This window comes from Homo sapiens, chromosome 17 (assembly GCF_000001405.40).
Source record: "Homo sapiens chromosome 17, GRCh38.p14 Primary Assembly".
Lineage (NCBI taxonomy): Eukaryota > Metazoa > Chordata > Mammalia > Primates > Hominidae > Homo > Homo sapiens.
Genome location: NC_000017.11, coordinates 51,624,061 through 51,649,045, shown reverse-complemented (window position 1 = coordinate 51,649,045; position 24,985 = coordinate 51,624,061). Strand labels below are relative to the sequence as shown.

The 24,985-nt window shown below is 43.1% G+C and overlaps 1 protein-coding gene across 3 annotated transcripts in view; it reads left to right on the top strand.

Moving 5' to 3' along the window:
• Positions 1-18,733, top strand: part of CA10 (carbonic anhydrase 10) — a 529,711-nt gene extending 510,978 nt beyond the window's left edge. For 2 of the 3 annotated variants that reach the window (NM_001082534.2, NM_020178.5), the window contains 3 exons: positions 13,037-13,191; positions 15,396-15,570; positions 17,440-18,726. In NM_001082534.2, coding sequence (NP_001076003.1) covers positions 13,037-13,191; positions 15,396-15,570; positions 17,440-17,462 — 353 coding nt within the window. In that variant the 3' untranslated portion in view covers positions 17,463-18,726. Of the gene's footprint in view, positions 1-13,036; positions 13,192-15,395; positions 15,571-17,439 lie in introns of all 3 variants that reach the window. The other variant, NM_001082533.1, reaches the window with a different exon arrangement.
• Positions 18,734-24,985: the final 6,252 nt, after the last annotated feature.

The following is a 24,985-nucleotide window of genomic DNA, read 5'->3' as shown; positions in this document are numbered from 1 at the left end:
GGAGATTAGGGTTTGGCTAAGAAGCAGCTCATTTCAAGCAGAAGTCCCTAGGGTGCCTTTGTCATCCATGCCTAAGGTGATAATGATTATGACTATGGTGGTCATCGTTATCCCATAGATTGGTAATGAGCCAGGGGACTCTGCTGGCTGACACGCTCCACCGTGTCAGCTGGTCACAGTTGGGGCTTTGCCAATTACGGGATTGAGAAAGCCCTCATCAGGTACTATGGATCCAATCGCAACATTTACAGAAGCCCTCGGCTAGACCATTTCTCTGTGTGTGGCTGGGTCTCCTTTCCAGGCAGAGACAGGATAGCATCTCTCTTCAGCCACATGTGTGGCCCATGGATGTAGAGGACTCTGTCCAGTTTCCTTGGGTTTCCAGAGTGTTTTATCCCCAGACTCATTATGCAGAAAAGAGAGAACAGTGCAAAGTTGAAGGAGGAAGGAAAAAGATGCTGCTGTCATCTCCAGCAATCCCAGAAGGTGCAGGATTTGGGAAAAGTTGGGTGAGACAGCACACACCCATAGATGAAAGAAATAATATGAGGAAAAAAGATTGTCTTTACCTAATTAGGAGCGAGTAGGATACTGGGATTCAAGTCCTGGCTTTGTCCTTCATCAAGGAGTTTCCTCACTTTGACTCTGTCATTCATCTTATAAAGTAAAAAAGTTGAACTTCAAGTTTCTAAAGTCCTTCTAGGTCTGGGATTCTGAATCAAGCAATAGGTAAATAATGATTCTCACAAAAGTGAAAAACAGTTGGCAAACATCCAAGCACCCACATCCCCTTGGCATGCCCTTCACCAAGCCAGGAGCTCAGCTGTGTCTGCTGCTTCTCTCTCCAATGGTGATGTGAAGAAAAAAAAATGAATGTGTACAGCTCTCACATTGGACTGCCAAGGGAGAGTATGGAGAATGCTTCACTCAGCCGTTTACTCACTTATTCGACAAACATTTCCTGCATGCCTGCCCCATGACAGGCACCAAGCGAAGCTCCAGGGATGTAAAGATGGCCCAGACAGCAGCCCTACAACTACCACGTGCTCACTGCCAAGTCCCTCCCATCTGCAGAGGCTGGGAGACTGGTAGGGCTGAGGAATGAACCTGGAGAATCCCGCTCCACCTAGAGAGACATTGCCCAGAAGAATGAATTAGGTTGTCTCCAAGCATATTCTGCCTTTTCTCATTAGTATTCTTATGGAGTCCTCTCTAAGCACACACTTAGATTGCTCAGCTAAGGGAGATATTTCTGTCTTGTGTGTAAATAGCACATTTATAACTGCCCATAAAAGATTATTATTCTTTTAACTTTTTTGATGAAAAAAGCATGAAAATTAAATAAAATGTTTTCAAATAATCTTGGATTTGCAATTTAGAGACCGTGAAAATGCATGAAATCACACATTAAGCCCCAACACACAGTCTAACAGATTACCAGTTGCAGAGTCAATCATTAGAGGGACTTTCCTCCCCACCCCACCACCCATCCCCCAGCACTGGTCTGATTAATATTAAGTGATGTGGCTTGTGCCACCAAGGGAGGAGCAAGAGAGGGGAGGGAGAGGAAGGGGAGGCAGGGAAGAAGGAAAAGACAGATGGAAGGGAGGAAAGGAAGAAAGGGAGGGAGGGAAGGAAAAGCATTCCAAGTGTGGGGAGCCACATGCACAAAACCTGGAGAGCACTGAAGGCCGGTGAAGAGTTCAGAGGGAGGAACTCTGTCTTCATCAGCTCTTCGTCTCAGTGCCTAAGACGAGGCACGCCCAATAAGCATTGGTGATGGCCTGGGTGAATAGAAGGATGAATGGCCTCTTTCAGGAGCTGTGACGGGGCAGAGGGAGTGGCAAGAAAGATGTTCTGGAGCCGGATCTTGAGCCATGTTAAGGTGTTTATGCAGAAGGCAGGCAGACATTTAAACACCCTTTTCACCTCTGAAGACACATTCCTAGAAATGCAAATAGAAGACAGCAGGAGCACCCTCTCCTTCTGACCCCCATACTCTACACCTCTCAGGGCCCAGGGAAAAGAAAGGGGAGCCAAAGCAAGATAAAGAGATCCTGGCCTGCATGGGGAAAGATAGCTGATTTAGGCCCCCTAATAACAGGAATTTTGTGCTCCTATAATTCAGCAGGGAGTAATTGAGGTGTCCTCTGTAGTGACCTTTGTCACATACCTGAAGGGAGCAGCACTGCAGGAATAATGATGGCCGATTCATGAGAATGACCCTGACACTGCTTTGCCCAGGACACTGCGGCAGAAATGAATTGATTTGCGCAGCAGAAAACCACAGCTCTCTTTTGTCCCTAGGGCAGCCAGAAGGTTAGCCCAGTGGCAGGCAGGGGAGTCTGGAGTAGGAGTCATTCACTAGAACACAGCCAGTGGGTGGGAAACATAAGACTGGAAGTCCCTCCCGAGGCTTTCCAACAGGCAGCAGGTTAGGCCAGCACTGGCCCATAAATTCAGGTTAAGATGAAGAAAACTCAGGGGGCCCTATCAGGGTATCCTGCTTCTGTCCTTCTAAATGTTCGAGAGACAGAAATCAACCCCCCACCCCACCATTTCTACCATGCTACTGAGGGACACCTAACCTCCACCCCTGCCCATTCTACTGTTGCTACCCAGAACTGCACCCCAGCATAGCTTCAATTTGCTCTGCTCATTTAGATGCAGTATCCACTCTGCAACGTGCTGAGCCCCAGGAATATGGAGATGATGCTTACTGAGCACTTTCCACACACCAAGGTCTATGCTTTACATACAGGCTCCTTACCTAGTGCTCACGAAGTCCTTCAGAGCGGTATGATTGCCATCCCCAGTTTACAGATGGGAAAAATCAAGGCTTCAAGAGGTGAAGTCATTTGACCAATGACACACATTTAATGGCTGTATCAGTCAGCAACTTCTGCGTAATAAACAAGCATTCAATGATAAGCATTGATTTCTTATTGCTCCCTCCTTGGGTTGGTAGGGGTGGCTCTGCTTCCAGCTACAGGTCTGCAAGTGAGCTGAAGCAGCTCAGCTCCACGTGACTCTCATTGTTCTAGGATCAAGATGATATCCAGGGCAAGTAGTTCTCATGGTAGAGGGAAGAAATAAGTGATGTGACTTAAGGCCTAGTCATGAAACTCACACACTCACTCTGTCCACTTCCACAAGCCAAAGCAAGCCATATGGCCAAGCTCAACATGAAAATCCTGCCAAGGAGATGAAGATGAGGAAGAAGTGAACATTTCCTGAAAAATATTCTTCCATAGTAGAAGAGCAAGTATCCAAATACAGGTCTTCCTGGGTACTGTTTCCTCTGCTTTTCCTTCCTATCATGCTTTCTCCCTAAGGAGGAAGGAAAGCTTAGCTCCAGGGTCTTAAAACTAATTGCAGTGAAGATGTTTTCACATTCCATGAAACTTGTCAGCATGTTTTTCTCTTAATTCCAACTTTGGTTCAGTTTGAAGAAGCATCTTTTTGCTATTTGCATGTGCCTCCACTTGAAAGGGACATATACTAACCACAGAACTGATGGGAACTTTGGCAGTTCAAGTACATCCTGACCTAAGCTCTCTCCAACTCCTGCCTGGCCCTGAACATGGTACCTCCAGTGGAAATCAGTCATTCAGAGGGACACAGTGACATTGCCATTACTGACATATATAGTCACCAGAGAAGGCACAGAGATTAATTCTAGAGGGGGTCAGTCTTCTGAAAATCTGCCCCTTGAAGGTCATTGTAACAAAAAGTCAATCTAGGAATTTAAGCAGAGTGACATCATCTGTTGACAAAAGGATCGCCTCATTGCTTGGTTGAGAATAGACTACAAGGGGCAGAGTCCACAATAGAAGAGGATTGCAGCAACCCAAATAATGAGACGATGGCACTGACCATGACCGGGCTGATGGGGATTGGCAGGGAGATGGTGAGAAATAATTGGATATATTTTAAAGAAAAAGCCAAGAGGCCGGGCACAGTGGCTCACACCTGTAATCCCAGCACTTTGGGAGGCCGAGGCAGGTGGATCACGAGGTCAGGAGTTCGAGACCAGCCTGACCAACATGGTGAGACCCCATCTCCACTAAAAATACAAAAATTAGCTGGGATTGTGGCGCGCGCCTGTAATTCCAGCTACTTGGGAGGCTGAGGCAGGAGAATCACTTGAACCCGGGAGGCGGAGGTGGCAGTGAGCTGAGATCGTACCATTGCACTCCAGCCTGGGCAACAAAGCAAGATTCTGTCAAAAAAAAAAAAAAAAAAGCCAAGAAATGTACTGATATATCTGATAATATATCTGATGTTTTATGTGAGAGAAAGAGGGGAGTGAGGGATGACTGTAAGACTTTTAGCCTGAGCAACTGGAAAGAAGACATTTTCATCCACTGAGATGGGGAGACTGTGGATGAAGCGTATCCGTGGGTGGGAAGGAAATCAGAAATTTTGAACATGTTCAGCTTGAGATGTTTATAAGGTACCCAAGAAGAGGTGTGGAGTAGGCAGTTGGATATATGAGTCTGGATTTCAGGAGGGAGAACTGAAGATATAAATGTGGAAGACGTTGGCATCCAGATGGCGTTTAAACGTTGGTGAAATCCTGAGAGTAAGAATAAATAGAGAAGAGAGGCGGGACATGTCCTCACTTTTGAAAGAGCAACTCAAATCTCCATGACTTAGGATTGAAAATCACTTCTAAAGATATCTTTAAAATCCCACCCTGGAAGAGGCTCCCGTGTGGCTGCCTCATCAGCAAACTGAGGTGGTGCAGGGAGCTGCTGCACACATGGAGGCAGCGGGGTGAAATCACAACATGGCAGCTGGAAGAGACACAGTCCATTTGCCCGGTTTGTAGGATTGGGCACAGAATGAATGACCAGGAAAAAAAAAAAGGGGGGGAACTGTGCAAAATCATTCTTTTGAGCCAGTTACAAAAAAAATCAATGCCAGGAAATTCATACAAGGAGGAAAGAGGGAGAATCTCGCCAAGAGGATTGGGAATTTTGGAGGCTAAATGCCATGCTGGTAAAGGCACCACACCCATGGGAGGCAGTGTGTTCTAGTGAAGAGAGATCTGGGCTCCTATCCTGGCTCTACCACTTCCTTTTGTTGCCTGACTTTAAGCAAGCTTCTAAACACCTCCCCGATCTGTAAGAGGAAGATATTAATGCTGACGTTGAGATGGTTGGCATGAGAATCAAACAAGGTAATGAGTCAAATGCCTGAACAATGAGTGGTATAAACTAGGTGTAAAATGAACGTGTATTTCTAAGTTGTCTTAAGGTACCTGGCTATCAAATCCAGCTTCCCTCAGGGGAGGAGGCAGGTTGCTATGATGCCAAATAAAAATTATGTTGAAGGTAAATGCAATACAGGACACAGAGTCAACAGAATTTGCTTGTTTTAAATGAAATACCGCTCCTGTGCTTGAATCCATGCAGTGGATGGTGATGATTTAATGAGATTCTACTACTTTACTTTCCTTGCAAGCTTAGATTTCATATGTCTGAGTGAAACTTATAAAACACTCTAACTGGGACTGACAATGAAAAAAACTAGCCTGAACTAAATTCGGGCTGAATTTAGAAAGTCTTCTAAAGAAAACCCATTTTATTAAAGTCAAATTCCCCTTCAACAGACTGGGGGTTAAGACTAAAATCATGACATTGAAAAATAGATTTTCCGAATGGATTTTCTGGAGGAGATATTGGTAATTTACTTGAAGTATTTTAATTTTTTAACGTAGTGTATTGGAATAAGGCTAATATCCCTCCATTTTTCTTGTGTTAATTAATTGGCATTAATTAACAGAATCCCAATTAAATAAAAAGTAGTATTCTTATTTTATTATCTACCCAATTTCATTAAGCCAGCATTATTTTTTAAAAAGAGATTTTATGCTGTTTTCAAGTGGCTAAACTAGTGACCAATGAAGTGCAAAGAGGCTTCTTAAGTGGGTAAGAGGGAACAGTTATTAGAACACTGCATATAAAACACTTTCCTCTAACATCTTAGGACAGTATTATTTTGGTAGCTTCATTCTCCTTCAGTGTCGCATGCCCCCATTCATTTAGTCCAATAAGAATCCAAACGATCACAAATTTCAAATTTAAAAAGGTATGGTGGCTGGGCGTGTTGACTCACACTTATAATCCCAGCACTTTGGGAGGCTGAGATGGGCAGATCACCTGAAGTCAGGAGTTCAAGACGAGCCTGGCCACCATGGTGAAACCCTGTCTGTACCAAAAATACAAAAATTAGCTGGGCATGGTGGTGGGCACCTATAATCCCAGCTACTCGGGAGGCTGAGGCAGGACAATCACTGAAACTTGGGAGGCGGAGGTTACAGTGAGCCAAGATCATGCCACTGCACTCCAGCCTGGGCGACAGAGCAAGACTCCATCTCAAATAAAAAATAAGGAAAAAAAAAGATATGGCTATTGTCCTAATGTATTTCCTCTAAGGAAATAAAACCACACCACTGAAGGCATCTGGAGGAGAGCTTTCAGATTCAGCGCTTTGACACGTGGCACAAGCCCTTTAAAGCATCTTTTTCAGTCTTACCTGTTTATAACTTTGCTTTACTTCCCCCAACCCCCAGATCTTCTATTCAGCTAAAAGATGCATGTGTAGGCAAGGACAGATCAACTTGGAACTGCCTTATACTTCTCAGTTCTTTGGGAAGTGTTTTATGCGCCGCTCCTCAGAGGGACGTGGTGTTAAATGTGACGAAATATCACCAAGGAGTTTAAGCATATTGCTCCTGGTGCCTTTCTCTATGCTTAATTGAACTTGTACTTTCATTTCAAAGGAACGGCTTTGGAAATGCTTTCACAGAATGCAAAACGCAGCACACCACTTTCCATGTTGCAATCTAAGTAGTTACTCACGTCAGCAAGGAACAGAACAGGAGCAGCTTACCTCCACGAATCCAATTCTCAGAGGTCCCTTTTATCATTTATTGTTTGTGTAAAACAAAATATCATATTACTTCATTCTTTAGTAATTGCCTTTTTTCATTTCAGTTGAATTTGCCTCAGATTACAAGAGGAAATGTCATTCTATATGAGAAAATTGCCAAATAGTTCCATATTGATCAGGAACAAGTCCAGTATTGATCTCTGAAACTACCGTGCCTTGTTCTCATTGGAATAGTTCTCTTCAAATGGGAACTTCATAAGCAGGAAGCCGGGCAATATTAAATCTCATCAGTGGTCCACATGAGTAAGCACAATGCATTTAACAGAGGCTGCCTGTTAAATGCAGACTGAAAAAAAAAAGTTCAGACTGAGGGAAAGTTTCCCCCGACTCCCCCAAGTGGTCCTAGGCATTTTATCATAGTGTACGTCTCCTACAAAAAGAAAAAGTCAGCTTGGGAGTTGTAACCACGACTAAGAACTCAGTATAAGATAAATCACAGGTTCATCAAGAACATGTCAAAAAACCAAAGGTTCAGCTGTCAACTTCTGCAGTCATTTGAAATAATAAAATTGGGTGATAAAATACACACATATATTCTACACTTATTGATTATTCAAGATCCAAGGGGTCCTCCTTTACTATAAAGATACAGCCAACACATACAAAATTACAACACTCTCATATAAAAATTTGACCTACCTAAGATAAATTTGGCTAACAAGCTTGCTTATGTTGAAAGATGGTTTCGGATCCATAGAATGTTTAATACCTGAAGATGCAATTTTCCAGGACTGTTTGGTATCCTCAAGTAAGAGGTTACATTCTTTTCCATGAAGGAAGAATGAGTTGCTGGCAAAGCTACCACTAGAACTCAGACTTGAATTAAGACTCTTGACTTGACATCTAGGATTTGCCCTTTATAAGCTATTTTCTCATATGACAGGTAAGTAGGTGATAGAGATATGAGAGAGAGAGAGAGGAGAGAGAGAGAGAGCTGAGAGAGAGAGAGAGAGAAAGAGGGGATAGGTAGAGAAACCTCTCTGCAAAACTATTCATGAAACTTTATTTGAACATCTGTCCTCACTTCCACCAATAAACATCCTTAAAGCAAGCAGAGACATGCATGAACACTCCCCCACTGGCCTCTGAGCTTCACCCCAAATTTGCATCTTTGTTCACAAACAACTCTGACCTCCTCTAGATCTTTGCCATCCTTACTCATGAATAGAGCCTTGGAAGTTTAGAGAGGAGAATCTCCCTTCTGGTATATTGGTCCTCAGTCTACTTTCTGTCTATAATGCCCAGACGATAACGCTGACAAGAACCAAACAATGGTTTTCTGCTGGATGCTGCAAGGACAAGATAGTTTGTGACTAAAAGCTAGTTCCTGGCCTAGTTAGCCCTGAAAACACCCCAGTGTGCCTTGACATTAGGGCTGAAAACTTCTGTTTTACTCATGTTCTTTTCTTGGGTCCCTCTGCTTCTGTCCTATCAAACATACAAAGCAAGCTTCAACAGAGAGAAAAGAAGATGCAGAAAGTTAGCCAGTGGCTTTCAAATCCCAATACCTAAAAGATAGACACTGATTTAATGGCAGCCTCTGAGGCAGCATGATGAGTCATGAAAACAAACATTACACGTTAAATGCGCACTGACTCAGCAATGTAAATATGAAGGTAGAGGAGTCTTTGGTATGGAAACATGGTAATAGCATATGGAGATGGAAACAGGGCAGGCAATCTCACCCTGATGTCTTAGGGTGTGAGACATAGGGGGGAGATGGTAGGCAGCATGTATTTAAGCTAAGGATGCTGACTGGAGCCTCAGAGATGCTTCCCCTCATCTGATAAATGATGTCGTCTCTTCCTCCCTTGCTTTTGCCCAACACTGCCAGCAGGTAGAGCTGCTGAGCAGAAACCATTTCATTTGTTCATTCGAGCAGTGTTTACTAAACACCCAGTATGTGGTGGACTCATGCTGGCATTTGGGGGCTTAGAGATACAAGATGCAAACCCTTCCCCTGAAGGCTCACAGCTTAGCAGGGACAGTCAAATAGGCAAATAATGATTGACAAGCTAATTCAGTAAATACAGCAAAAAAGGAGGGCACTGGCCCAGCTGGGGAAGCCAGGGAGTCCTTGAGGAGAGGAGCAGTAGTTATTCCAGGGCAGGGTAGGAGGATGTGACAAACCTGGACCACACCTTATGCTAGGTGCTTGAAAAGCATGATCCTGTTTATTCCTCAAACAACCCCGTGAGCAAAGTACTCCAACCATCTGCTTATTGCAAATGTAGAAACTGAGGCTCAGAGGGTTACCTGTGGGTCCAAGGACACACGGAGAGTGAGCAGCAAAGTCAGCACTCCAACTGCGATGTGAGTCTAAAACTCACACTCTCCACTCTGGGTCTTTCCAAGTTCTGCTGTGTGAGGATATAAAAAGGGCAAAAGGTAGAGTATAAGTATTAACAAGATTTGCAGAAGGAACACAGTGGGGAGTGAAAATGTCAGGAGAGCAGAAGCTGCCTATGTCCTCTGATGACTGTTGCATCTTGGAGAGGGAGTGGACAAAGAGGGATCTCCTGGCAGGACCTCAGTGGATGGAGTCTGGGGTATCAGCACTACGGTGTTTTGGAAACCTGCTGTGTGTGATAAATCCCTGAGCATAACCTTTGACTCTTGCTCCTAGCCTACACTATACCTCGGCCCCCAATCTTTTCCACAAATATAGCTGCAGCACAAAGGCTGGTTACAGTCTCAAAGAAACAAAACATGTTCCTTTTCTTTACTCCAGTCATGCCTGGAATGCCTCTCTTTCTACTTCCCCCTTCACTCCTCCCCACCGCCCCGAATAAAATAAAATGCAATAATAACAGCATGCTAGAGTACCCAATGTGTTCCTCGTGCAAGCTTGGTTAAACAAATCACATTGACCTTTAACAAAAATGTGCTGAATGCTTCCTTCTCTTATTCAATATGTTAATCTTCAGGCCAAACCACCATCAGAGCAAGCCTCATTAAGTGCAAATGTGATCATGCTACTCCTTGGCTTCAATCCCTTCGGTGGTTCCGCATTGCCTCCGGATGAAGTCCAAACTCCCAGTAGTGCTGGGAAGACCTTCTGGTGTGGTCTGTGCTGACCCCACCAGCCACATTTCTCACAGCAGCCCTCCCTCCCCTTCCATCTCCACATCGCCCTGCACCTCACACTCCATCTGTCCCCAAGTACACACCACTCCTTCCTTGACTCTTTTTCTAGCATTGCTCTGTCTACAGTGGCCTTGACACCCTACCCGATTCCCAGCTACAAACTGATCACCTCCTGCTGTTAAAGATGCAGTTCAAGTCAACTCCTCGATTCATTCCTTCCTGAGTACCCCGCACCCTCGCCCCAGACAGAACTCACAGCCTCTCTCTGGGCCCAATGCAGATTTATGTCATTGTCTCTGTCATGCCTTCTGCATTCACTTAATTATTTCCTACTCATCTATACCTGGCTTAGTGCCTGACACATCTTAGGGACTTAAGAGGCAGTCAGAGACAAATGCTGATATCCAATGTTAACTTATTGGGTTGGCCCCTGATGTAACCCCCAAGGTCCCTCACGTCGTGTGTGCCCTGGGCACTGTGGCTTTGTTATGGAAGCATCTGCCCAAACAGGCCATAGTGCAGACCCAGGCTGGCCATATTCCAATCACTGTGTCTCTCTCGAGCATGTCCTCGTTCCTTGGTGTTTTGACGGAAAGGTAGAAACATTTAAATGAAAAGTGAAAGAAAGTCCTTCCTCCTAGGGTTGGTCTCCAAATCCAGCTTGGTGAAGCTATCTTCCTCAGAGACTTTGGTGGATGGAACCCTGGAGGGGTTCCCTTACCCCATCAAGGGAGTAGGAGGCCAGGAAGGGCAGCTTTGAATGGAGTAGGCAAATTGTGATTGTATTTATATCATTCCAAACGATTGGCTCCATTGATTTGTTCACAATTTAATTGACAAAGCAACACTGAAATTCAAGTTCCCTTGGCAAAGGTAACTCTTTCTTATTGGAGAAGGCTGAACGAGCAATTTCTAGAGGAAGAAATGGAGGAGAGGGCATCTTTGCCAAGGAAAATAAATTAGCAGCATTAATCAGTAGGTAAGTACAGGCAGGTCAAGGTGCACTTATTACTGTGACATTATAGCCTACTTATTTTTATTTTGCCATTTGTTATCTATCTCTCCAACTAGAATAAGGTCAAGGACTGCATCTATCTTGTTAATTGCTCTGTCCCCAGAGCTTAACACTGTGCCTAGCACAAAGAGGTTCTAGTGAATAATCGTTGAATGAAAAAATGACCTTGGTCTGGAGGTCGGAAGAGCTGAGTTCTAATTTCCACTTTGCAGTCACCAGCTAGCCCTGTGACCTTGGGCAGCCCACTTTGCCTCCCTGATCTTTAGTTTCTTGTCAGTGGAGGATGTTACTATCTGCCTGACTCATTTTATTGAGTCAATGTGAGGTTCCAGCCATATGTGAAAGTCTTCCTTTACCATATATGTGCACAATACTAAACTGAAGAGGTTCCCTCAACCCCTGAAGAATGAGTACTTTCCCACTGGGAGTTAGACACATGGACGAGAGAACATGTGTGCATCCATGGGGCTGGAGAGTCAGTCTCATCCCTCGGCCAGCCAGGCTTTGGGACCCTGCCATGTGTTCTCCAGGTCTCCTGGACTGGCCACAGTGATGGGTGCTCATGGTATGCCTGGGGATGTGATACCTCTAGAGATATAGATCTGGAATCACTGGGATGCAGAAGGCAAGTGAAGCCATGGATGTAGATGAGCTACTCTCAGATGAGAGGATAGAGTAAGAAAAGAAGGGAGCCTTGGACTGATCTTTGGGGAATTGCATCATTGAGAGAAGCAGGTAGAAGATCAGGAGACAGCAACAAAACCTGAGAGAGAATGGCCAGAAAAATGGGAATACTAAGTATGGTATTTTTGAAGCCAGCAGAAGAGAACAATCACGTGCTAAAAGAAAGGAAGAAGGATCATGAAGAGGGGAGAAGAGGAGAGATACATTGCAATTAACTGATATTTTAAAACTCCAATACACACAATTTTATCAAAAATACAACCAATACATTGACTAAAAAAATTAACAGGAAACACACCAAAATGCTAATAGTAACAGTTTTAGATGACTGAAATTGTTTTTTCTTTTTTCCATATAGTCTGTGATGTACTTATGTCATTTTTACCATTGAATTACTGTATTTAGTAATAGAAGATATATGGGTATGAATACCTCAAATTGGTGTAAGAGAAAAGGCTATCTGCATAGACCTGAGAGAGAGAAAAATACACACACACACACACACACACACACACACACACACAAAATAATCAGTTGTTGAGCTTAACCATAGAATCTCATGGTAGGATTTGGCCTGATTTACTTTTCTATCCAAAAATATTTTCTTATTGTTGTTTTAAGTGAGAATGGTCACCAGGTGAATTTCAACAGGTCTAGAAGCTTTAATTGTCCATCTCATGATACCTGTAATGCCTAGGAGTCCAGATCTCAGGGACTAGAATCAAGGACTCCTCAAACAATCCCTGTGGTAGAACGCATTGCTTACAGCTCACCAATGCTCAGGGCCCCATCCTGTGGAAGGAATGTGCTTCCTCGCATCCCCAACATCAGCCTTAACCATGTGACTTCTTTGGCTACCAAAACATGAGCACAAGTGATGTGTGCCACTTCTGGGATGGAAGTTTTAAGAACCAACACACATTCGCCATGCTTTCGCTTCTGTCACTGTGATCCGCACAGGTCCAGGTGTTTACTGCTCTAAGAGTCTAGGTCCCAAAGCATGGACAATGACATGGAGGGAAGCCTCAGCCAACCTGGAATGATCATGTGTGTGAGCAAGAAATACATTCTTATTGCTTAAAACAACCGAGATCTGGGGGACAACTGCTTGTTACTGCAGCCTGTTCTGACAGATAGAGTCTTCTGGAATTCCAAAAGAAATACATATATATCTGTGTGTGTATATATGTATGTATATGTATATGTATATGTATGTATGTATGTATGTATGTCAGCAATACCATCCCTTTCTCAAGAAACCTAATTTTTAAGTCTTCTTTCCTTCTCTAGATGATGCATATTTACTACAGGGGCTTAATATAGAGGAACTATATCCAGAGACCTCTAGTTTCATCACTTACGATGGGTCGATGACTATCCCACCCTGCTATGAGACAGCAAGTTGGATCATAATGAACAAACCTGTCTATATAACCAGGATGCAGGTGAGTTTCTCTCTGGTCATTTAGCTAATGGAGAAGAATGATGTTAAAAAAAAATCACTGAAATGTGGAGTGCCTATTATAATAGTTTACTAGGACCACTATAACAAAGTCCCACAAACTGGGTAGTTTAAACTAACACAAACTTATCGCCTCACAGTTCTGGAGACTAGAAGTCCAAGATCAAGGTGTCAGCAGCGTTGCTTCCTTCAGCGGAATGTGAGGAAGAATCTGTTCCATGCCTCTCCCCTAGCTTCTAGTGGTTTGCTGACAATCTTTGACGTGCTTTGGCATTTAAAAGCACCACCCCAAGCTCTACCTCCATCTTTTTTTTTTTCTTTTTTGAGATGGAGTCTCGCTCTTGTCACCCAGGCTGGAGTGCAGTGGCGTGATCTTGGCTCACTGCAACTTCCACCTCCTGGGTTCAAGCGATTCTTGTGCCTCAGCCTCCTGAGTAGCTGGGATTACAGACACGTGCCACCACGCCCGGCTAATTTTTATACTTTTAGTAGAGATGGGGTTTCATCATGTTGGCCAGGCTGGTCTTGAACTCCTGACCTCAGGTAATCCATTTGCCTCGACCTCCCAAAGTGCTGGGATTACAGGCGTGAGCCACCACACCCAGCCTCTACCTCCATCTTTATAAGGTGTTCTCCCTGTGTCTGAGGCTCTGTGTCCAAATTTCCCCTTTTTATAAAGGCACCTTCTGTATTCCATTAAAGCCTAACCCCAATAAGCTTGTCTTAGCTCATTCCATCTGCAATGACTATTTCCAAATAAGGTCACATTCTGAGCAACTAGGGGTTACCAGTACCTTCAGCTTATGAATTTCAGGGGTACACGATTCAACCCATATGCCTGGGTTTAAAGAGCCAGCATCCAAAAGGCTTAGCCTGAGCTAATTATAGAAGCATCTCAACTGTCTCAGTGGGAAAAGATAGCCATTAATTCCCAGAGTGTATTCTACAACTACAGTGTTCAGAAAGCAAGCAAGCAAAATGGAAGATGTCATTATGCATTTGAAAAAGTTGGGTTTTAAAAAGTTAAATAGATTCCATTGTTGAAGGATTTCTGGGGTCCTTCTTAAATGCTAATATATGTGTCAGTCTTCAAGAGGAAGTGGTATGATATGTAGTATTTTGCACACATATTTGAATGTGCAGTGTTTTTTTTGGATCATCTCACAGAGTTAGTACTCATCAGAACTGGATGGGAGGCAGATGGGTCCTCCTGTGTGAGCTTGGCTACACGGCTTATTGTGCTCTTCAGGCCTGTCACCCACCTCTATGAAATGAACACTCCTCTTCTTTATTGAGAGGGGGATAAATTACATGAGTTTGCTCCAGCTCTGACATTCTACGACTGTGGGAGTCTATAACAAATTAAAGGAGAGATGAGCAAAGGAAGCAGAAGCCAATATCCTTGACGGGATATGTGTTCCCACCTGACCACCATTTGAACAATTTGAAGTTCCTTAACCTATCTGTATTGAATGGGACCCACTGGGTGACAGGCAACAGTAACTCCCCACTTAAGCTTAGAAAAAGCATTTATTTGAGAGCTACGAGGGCATCTTAGAGAATTTAAAATCAGAAATTGACATCAGAAATTCACTGAAATGGGAACCCCAGAAGTGCTTTCTCTCTGTTGTCCTCTTCTCACCACACATTCACTTCATTCTTCTCTCCTGCTAGAGACCGTCTTCTTTTGCCTCACAGTCCTGTGGCAGAACATGGCTGCAAACAGTCCAGCCACCTGGCCCTCATAGTCTCACAGAAAAGAAACCAAACTGGTCCAGCTTAGTTTAGCTCTGACCCATGGACCAATCACTATGATCCACGTAATACCATGTGGGAGTCATGGAATTATTGAACCAAAGAGTATCAAAGAAAGAAAGAACCTTAGAGAAACCTAACCAGATTTGCTCCTTTTTTGGATGCTGCATTTGAGGGTGAGAGAGCGCAAGTGACTTGTTCAGAGGCATACACAAGCTAGTAAGCTAGAAGAAAGGCTGGCTTCATGTGTGGAGGTATAATGGGCCTTCAGCTCAACTGAACCCATGGAAAAAAGGGACTCTGTGGGGCTTATACAGCCCTTTCCTCATACAGCCAATACCACCTAGCTTGGCCAGAGTCTCTGTGGTCTTATTTCTTCCCTAGTGCATTTAAGAGGATGGTTGGATCTCACGGCCACTTCTCTCTCCTCAGATGCATTCCTTGCGCCTGCTCAGCCAGAACCAGCCATCTCAGATCTTTCTGAGCATGAGTGACAACTTCAGGCCTGTCCAGCCACTCAACAACCGCTGCATCCGCACCAATATCAACTTCAGTTTACAGGGGAAGGACTGTCCAAACAACCGAGCCCAGAAGCTTCAGTATAGAGGTGGGTTTGGTGGCTCAGAGAGTGGAGGATCTAGGCTAGAGCTCAGTCTTTCTGCTTAGACCTGTTCTTAAAGGCCTGGCATTATCTTCCATTATAGGAATGATGACTGTAAATGACAATAGCCATCACACTCCATTTGCATGGTGATGAAGGTCTAAAGTTTTGATATATGTGATACAGATACCTGTATGAATGCATCTAGGTAGGTTGGTAGGTAGGTAAGTAAGTGGATGGATGGATGGATGGACGGTAGGTAGATGGCAAGGTGTAGAGGTTTGATATATGTGAGATATATATATATGTAACCTTTAAACACATATATCAAACCTTTAAAACCCCTGTAGATCAGGCAAGACAGCTTTTTATTGCCATTTTTCAAAAGAGCCCAGAAAGGCTGATGTTCCCAAGGTTATCTGTTAGAACAGGACAGTGAAAAGCATTAGAGCTTTTAAGTATATGGAAGAAAGACCTGCTTTCCCCTAGAAGATGAACAAATACTCTAAAGGGCAGGCCATTAGAATCCAATGGGGTAATTTGTGAGTGTATCTTTGCCCAGTGCTATGTCCCTAGAAATGGTTATTATTCCCACTAAAGGGGACATTTAAGTTGACATCTGCCTCCTGTAACTCTGTGGTGCACACCCAGCCCTCTCTCTCTTCCCTTCTGCTTACTACTAAACATCTGTTAATCATTGTGGTAAACACTCAGTGTGGAAAGAAAGATGGAGGAAGGATGGGGTCTTGGAGAGCCCTGGACTGGAAATCAGGACACCCAAGTTCTGGGCCTAGTTCTAACAAGCTGTGCAAACCCAGCCACATTGTTTACCCCCTAGACCTGGCTTCTTCGTGACAGTTCCTATGCCATCTACTTCACAGTTTGTTAAAGGAAGCAAACAAGAGCCTGGATAGGGAAGCCCTTTGTAGCAATAACATGCTCCCCAAATAGGAGGGCTGTGGTTATTACCAGACAGCTTTTAGAAGCAGCCTCCACCACTACTCCTTGATCCTCCACTTCATTCCTCCTACTTCCCCCTTGTTCCCTTCTTTTTTCTCTCTCAGATACACTTGCATGCCCAAACTACATATTTTCCACACCCTTCCAGCCGGAACTACCAGAAAAGTAAATACCTAACTCATTCATTGCTTCTTCTCTTTAGTCAAAACCCCTGTATTGTGTTCCTACCATGTGTCAGTTAGCTGGGTGATGGGTGACAGATAAGACACCTATCCAAACAGAGCATATGGTCTACAACAGGAGTCTACACACTTTTTCTATAAAGGACAGAGAGTAAATATGTTAAGTTTTGAAGCCATAAAATCTCTATGGCACTCTGACATTGTAGTATGAAATCAGCCATTGATAATATCTAAATGAATGGGTATGGCTGTGTTCCAATAAAACTTTATTTATAAAAACAGGTATTGTGCTGGATTAGATCTGTGGACTGTTGTTTTTCCATCCCTAGCCTAGAGCAGTGTCATCCACTAGAACTTTCTGTGGTAATGGGAATGTTTTCATGATAGGTTGATGACTATCCTGCACTGCCCAATACAGCAGCTACTAGCCATATGTGGCTATTGAACATTGGATGGGTGACTAGTACAATGATGCAACTAATTTTTTATTTTAATTAATTTAAATTCATAGTAGCCACATATGGCAGCTAGTGGCCACCATATTGGTCAGTATAGGCCTAGAAGGTCATGGAGAATTGGAAGGGAGTAGTTGGAATGCATATAAGTAAGCAGGCATTTACAAAACAGTCCCTTCCCCTCTGGAGGAATTCTCTAAAACTGTGTGCAAATTAATTGAGTATGCCTCGTTTTATGTTGTATGTGTGATTTTTTTTTTCTTTCTCTCTCTTTGCAGTAAATGAATGGCTCCTCAAGTAGGGAACAAAGCCAAGAAGAATCCCACCTCAGTGAAATGCTACAACTGTGAATTGACGTAACCTAGAATGTCCCCCTTCTTGCTTCTCTCTCCTTCTTTCCCCCAAGCCTCATTCATTCTTGGGATTGGCCCTTTCTTCATGAAAAGTGTCTGCAAAACCATGGCAGAGGAATACATCTCTCACACATACTCACAAACACACACACAAGCACTTGCACATACATACAAACACATGCAAACATACCTACACACACACACACTCTTACAACCTCCATCATGGGAAGTCAAGTTTCAGAAACAAAAGTCTCATTCATAAGAGGTCTTAGAAGAAAATAACCAGTTAACCTGATTTCAATTTTGATACCGTTTTCCTGAACTAATAAATCTACCCAATGAGACTTTTCAGCCTTTGTACATACAAAATTCTTCCAAAAGAGAGAGGAGAAAATACAGCTCTGATGGCATCAAACGGACTTTGCATCAAGTAATTTCAGATAGTGTCCTAGGATCCTTTGAGGGTGCTGGTAGCAGGTGAGCAGGACAAAGTTGACCAAGGACACTTATTTCTAGATTATGATTCTTCTGTTTACTCAACAATTTACAAAGAAAAAAAGGACAGACATTGAAGAGCTACACATTGTATATATATCACCACAGACTATAAGGAAATGGAATTATTTCCCTCTTTGTCACATATCTGTAGTAGGATTTGCCAAGATCAGAAATGATCCATTTGCTGTTTCTTGTTTTCCAAAGGTCATACATTGTGTTTGGTTATTGTTACCAGCTCAATAAATGTGTTTAACGAGTTAATTTCATTTTTCTGGCTTTGGTCTGTTCTCCTTCCTTACAGGCTAAGCCCTGGCTCCATGCAACTGCATTCTTTGATTTCACTTGTTCCTTCATCTACATGTTTTGTTCATTTGCAGCCAGTTTTTACTGAGTTTGTGGCAATCAGGAATGCATTTGCTAAGCAAGTATGACTTTAATTCCACTCCATGGCTCAATCATTCACATGAGGTGAGCTTCAGCCTGAGATAGCAGGCGACAGACTTCTTGCGTTTCAAAACTGCCATGCCCCCCTGTGATGCTCCCGTGAAGGAATGCACTTTGCCTTGTAAGTTCCTGGGAAAGGGGTATGTTTTCTCTCCAGGTGCAGCCAGATCTCACAAAGTACAAAACGAATGCCTTTCTTTTCTTGTTTATAATGGTCACTCACTGTGTTTGGTTACTGTCAAGAAATCAATAAATGTGTTTAACAAGTTACCCAGTACCCATGTCTGACTTTATTGAGAAAGAGGATGCTCCCTGCTGAAGTCTCTGAGTCCTGCTGGGTGCAGGAGCAATTGCATACGGGGCTGGCAGGGCATCCAGAACAGCCTGTCTAGCCATTCCCAGAGCCAGGTAATTAATACCCTGTTGAGAAAACATATAGGCTTAGCTCCTGGAAGAGAACACTTGGATGTTTGTTCAGTGGCCAAATTAAAAATAACTTTCATCTCTCCTTTCTGTCACACTCTCCTGGAAGGGGGAGAGCACAGGCAAGGAGAGTCTGTGCAAATGAGAACATTCCCAAGCATATGAAAAACTTCAGCCTAGTGACTAGATGGATTGACAATGAAAAATTCAAAACACCCAGTTATTTCATATTCAAAATAATATACTTAACTGGATTTTATCTTTTACTTTACTTTTTGCATCAATGTCAGACACACGGCAGCCTTAGCTATGATGGCATCTAGACCTATTTCTGAGCAACCTTATTTTTCCAGAGAACCAAATATTCACAAAGGTTTAGGGTAAGCAGGTGGCAATCTTTACATGGCTTGCTGCTGCTTCTGAGGTAGAATCTTCCTTAACCTGCAATGGCAGGCAGCGATATAGTATAACAGCTGAAGAATATGGATGGTAAATCAACTTTACTCTGCCTCTTGCCTGCTGCGTGACCCTAGGCAAGTTGCTTTACTTCTCTATCTGTACATTGGGGAGGTTAATAATTGCCTCCATGAGTTATGAGGCTTAAACACTATGTAGTTACTTAAAGCAGCCTGCACAATACCTGCAATGACCTTTCTATAAATGGTACCAATAGTAGAGCATTTGTACGACCTGCCTATTAAAAGTTTATCTGAGTCATACCATGCCTTCCTTTACAGGGTGGTGGTAGCATCAATCACAACAAGGACACCAGAGTGACAGCAAACGAAAGCAATAGATACCCAGCAGACTGCACATAGATAAATGCCTACGATGTGTTGAGGAAGAGAAGGAGAAGCATGAGCAAGGAAGGCAGGCAGGCAACTGGGTTTCTAGGCCCCACCCCATCACAGCATCCTCTCTGACACTGGGCAAGTCAACTCCCCTCCCTGGGGCTGAGTCCTTATCGACAAATGATTTGGACAAGATGACCTCCCCTGGCCTTTCCACTCTTAATTCCCCAACTGTGCCTCTCATTCAGTTCTTTAGTCCAGTGAGAACAAAGAAAAACCCAGTCTCTCACCCCTAGGGCCCCTAGGCATAGGCAGACTTTCACCTTGACCAAACAGGACTCAAAATGGGGCAAACTGGCTCCTGTCTCTGACTTTCTGGGCCAGTCCTAAATGCCCCTTTCTCCATACTCACTAGGTTTCCCAAACTAGAAAAAGAAAACATAGTCACTTTGCCCTCACAATATGTAGGAGTAATAAAAAGACTAGCTAGATTAGTACCTCTCAAAAAAAAAAAAAAGGTGGTAGTTTTTAAAGTACCAAAGAGCCCCTGGACTTCCTGAGCACCCATGGGCTGTAAAATCTATTGATGTATTCTTGTTCTTTGGTGTCTTCATCTAGGACTTTGGTCTCATCTGGGTCTTGATCTCTTCAACATCACTAATCATCAGGGAAATGCAAATCAAAACTACAATGAGATACCACCTCATACCTGTTGAAGACATCAAGGAACAAAAATACATTAATCAATTTTGCAGTCCATGGGTGCTCAGGAAGTTCCAGGGGAGTGGTGTCTCTGTGCTCCACAGTGTGTGCCGATCGGCCAGCTTTGCCTGTTGGAGCCCAGGCTGACAGGGGCACCCCTTCCCTTTTGGAGAAGTAGTCTACAACCTGCAAGGAAACACATGCTAAGCCTCAGTTCCCTCCTCTGCGAAATGGGGGAGGGAGGTAAATATACACCCAAGAGAGATCTGGACAAATTGAATGAAAAAAAGAACACATTGAGGTGAGTGGATCACCTGAGGTCAGAAGTTTGAGAACAGCCTGGTCAGTATGGTGAAACCGTGTCTCCACTAAAAATACAAAAATTAGCCGGGCATGGTGGCACATGCCTGTAATCCCAATTACTCGGGAGGCTGTGGCAGGAGAATCACTTGAACCCAGAAGGTGGAGGTTGCCGTGAGCCAAGATCCATCACTCCACTGCACTCCAGCCTGAGTGACAGACTAAGACTCTGTCTCAAAAAAAAAAAAATCATGTGGAAATCCACAGCCCTAGCCCCTTCTTGGGGACACATTTTATGGTTTCCCAGACCATTTAGAGCCTTGTTCCAATCTCCCTCTGTAGCAGTTAAGTTTCCATGGTGACATCAGGACAACCACAACTCACTGCACTAAATGTGTCTGGAATGTGGTACAAGACAGTGAGAGAATCACATGGAATCTGGACAGGAAAGCAGTCCTTGACCACAGCCCATAACACACACATCAGGCCAAAGAAGATGATTGACAAGGGTCAATTAGCATATGCCCATACCCCCAGGGTGGACCCGTCCTGCTGGAATCCAGAACACCTGCAGTTCATAAGAGTATCTCAATTTTCCTGTTCCAGAAATCCTAAAAGTAGGACCCCTAGGAGCAGAAACTTACTGTAATATTATTCACCAACTGGCACAACTGAACATAAGGAAAGATCTGCCAAGACTCCAGATGAAAAAAACATACTATTATTGATAAGGTCTGCCATAGGTTGCATATTTTCTGTGGTCCAGGCGCTGTGCCAAGCAGTTTACAAATATCATCTCATTTTACCCACACAGTGACCCACAAAGTAATCACCACTGCTGTCCCTGGGTTGTAAATGCAGAAATTGACTTCTTATAGACCAGGTGATAGCCTCAGGATCACATAGCTCATAGGTGGAAATGCCAGACTCAACTCTTCTAAGCCAGTGGTTCTCAAAGCATGGCCCCAGCCAACAGCATCACTTAGGAGCTGGTTAGATATGCACATTTTTAGATCCCACTGCAGACCGATTGACACTCAGAGGGTGAGCCCCAGCCATCTGTTTTAACAAGCCCCCTAGATGATTCTGATGCACACTCAACGTGAGAATCACCGTAAATCAAATATTCATCCCTACTACTTCCTACTCTAGAGGTTCCCAAACTTTACTACATATTAGAACCTCTTTAGCATAATGTCCTCCAAGTTCACCCACGTTGTGGCAAATGTCAAGATTTCCTTCTTTTTAAGGCTAATATTCCATTGTACGTCTATGCCACATTTTCTTTACCTGTTCATCTGTCAGTGAACAATTTAGCTTTTATCCATGTCTTTTTATTATTATTATTATACTTTAAGTTTTAGGGTACATGTGCACAATGTACAAGTTAGTTACATATGTATACATGTGCCATGCTGGTGTGCTGCACCCATTAACTCGTCATTTAGCATTAGGTATATCTCCTAATGCTATCCCTCCCACCTCCCCCCACCCCACAACAGTCCCCAGAGTGTGATGCTCCCCTTCCTGTGTCCATGTGTTCTCATTGTTCAATTCCCACCTATGAGTGAGAACATGAGGTGTTTGGTTTTTTGTTCTTGCGATAGTTTACTGAGAATGATGATTTCCAATTTCATCCATGTCCCTACAAAGGACATGAACTCATCATTTTTTATGGCTGCATATTATTCCATGGTGTATATGTGCCACATTTTCTTAATCCAGTCTATCATTGTTGGACATTTGGGTTGGTTCCAAGTCTTTGCTATTGTGAATAGCGCTGCAATAAACATACGTGTGCATGTGTCTTTATAGCAGCATGATTTATAGTCCTTTGGGTATATACCCAGTAATGGGATGGCTGGGTCAAATGGTATTTCTAGTTCTAGATCCCTGAGGAATCGCCACACTGACTTCCACAATGCTTGAACTAGTTTACAGTCCCACCAACAGTGTAAAAGTGTTCCTATTTCTCCACATCCTCTCCAGCACCTGTTGTTTCCTGTCTTTTTGATGATTGCCATTCTAACTGGTGTGAGATGGTATCTCATTGTGGTTTTGATTTGCATTTCTCTGATGGCCAGTGATGGTGAGCATTTTTTCATGTGTTTTCTGGCTGCATAAATGTCTTCTTTTGAGAGGTGTGTGTTCATGTCCTTCGCCCACTTTTTCATAGGGTTGTTTGTTTTCTTGTAAATTTGTTTGAGTTCATTGTAGATTCTGGATATTAGCCCTTTGTCAGATGAGTAGGTTGCGAAAATTTTCTCCCATTTTGTGGGTTGCCTGTTCACTCCGATGGTAGTTTCTTTTGCTGTGCAGAAGCTCTTTAGTTTCATTAGATCCCATTTGTCAATTTTGGCTTTTGTTGCCATTGCTTTTGGTGTTTTAGACATGAAGTCCTTGTCCATGCCTATGTCCTGAATGGTAATGCCTAGGTTTTCTTCTAGGGTTTTTATGGTTTTAGGTCTAACGTTTAAGTCTTTAATCCATCTTGAATTAATTTTTGTATAAGGTGTAAGGAAGGGATCCAGTTTCAGCTTTCTCCATATGGCTAGCCAGTTTTCCCAGCACCATTTATTAAACAGGGAATCCTTTCCCCATTGCTTGTTTTTCTCAGGTTTGTCAAAGATCAGATAGTTGTAGATATGCGGCATTATTTCTGAGGGCTCTGTTCTGTTCCATTGATCTACTGTTTTGATACCAGTACCATGCTGTTTTGGTTACTGTAGCCTTGTAGCATAGTTTGAAGTCAGGTAGCATGATGCTTCCAGCTTTGTTCTTTTGGCTTAGGATTGACTTGGCGATGTGGGCTCTTTTTTGGTGCCATATGAACTTTAAAGTAGTTTTTTCCAATTCTGTGAAGAAAGTCATTGGTAGCTTGATGGGGATGACATTGAATCTATAAATTACCTTGGGCAGTATGGCCATTTTCACGATATTGATTCTTCCTACCCATGAGCATGGAATGTTCTTCAATTTCTTTGTATCCTCTTTTATTTCATTGAGCAGTGGTTTATAGTTCTCCTTGAAGAGGTCCTTCACATCCCTTGTAAGTTGGATTCCTAGGTATTTTATTCTCTTTGAAGCAATTGTGAATGGGAGTTCACTCATGATTTGGCTCTCTGTTTGTCTGTTGTTGGTGTATAAGAATGCTTGTGATGTTTGTACATTGATTTTGTATCCTGAGACTTTGCTGAAGTTGCTTATCAGCTTAAGGAGATTTTGGGCTGAGACAATGGGGTTTTCTAGATATACAATCATGTCATCTGCAAACAGGGACAATTTGACTTCCTCTTTTCCTAATTGAATACCCTTTATTTCCTTCTCCTGCCTAATTGCCCTGGCCAGAACTTCCAACACTATGTTGAATAGGAGTGGTGAGAGAGGGCATCCCTGTCTTGTGCCAGTTTTCAAAGGGAATGCCTCCAGTTTTTGCCCATTCAGTATGATATTGGCTGTGGGTTTGTCATAGATAGCTCTTATTATTTTGAGATACGTCCCATCAATACCTAATTTATTGAGAGTTTTTAGCATGAAGGGTTGTTGAATTTTGTCAAAGGCCTTTTCTGTATCTATTGAGATAATCATGTGGTTTTTGTCTTTGGTTCTGTTTATATGCTGGATTACATTTATTGATTTGCATATATTGAACCAGCCTTGCATCCCAGGGATGAAGCCCACTTGATCATGGTGGATAAGCTTTTTGATGTGCTGCTGGATTCAGTTTGCCAGTATTTTATTGAGGATTTTTGCATCAATGTTCATCAAGGATATTGGTCTAAAATTCTCTTTTTTGGTTGTGTCTCTGCCCGGCTTTGGTATCAGGATGATGCTGGCCTCATGAGTTAGGGAGGATTCCCTCTTTTTCTATTGATTGGAATAGTTTCAGAAGGAATGGTATCAGTTCCTCCTTGTACCTCTGGTAGAATTCGGCTGTGAATCCATCTGGTCCTGGACTCTTTTTGGTTGGTAAGCTATTGATTATTGCCACAATTTCAGCTCCTGTTATTGGTCTATTCAGAGATTCAACTTCTTCCTTGTTTAGTCTTGGGAGGGTGTATGTGTCAAGGAAGTTATCCATTTCTTCTAGATTTTCTAGTTTATTTGCATAGAGGTGTTCGTAGTATTCTCTGATGGTAGTTTGCATTTCTGTAGGATCGGTGGTGATATCCCCTTTATCATTTTTTATTGCATCTATTTGATTCTTCTCTCTTTTCTTCTTTATTAGTCTTGCTAGTGGTCTATCAATTTTGTTGATCCTTTCAAAAAACCAGCTCCTGGATTCATTAATTTTTTGAAGGGTTTTTTGTGTC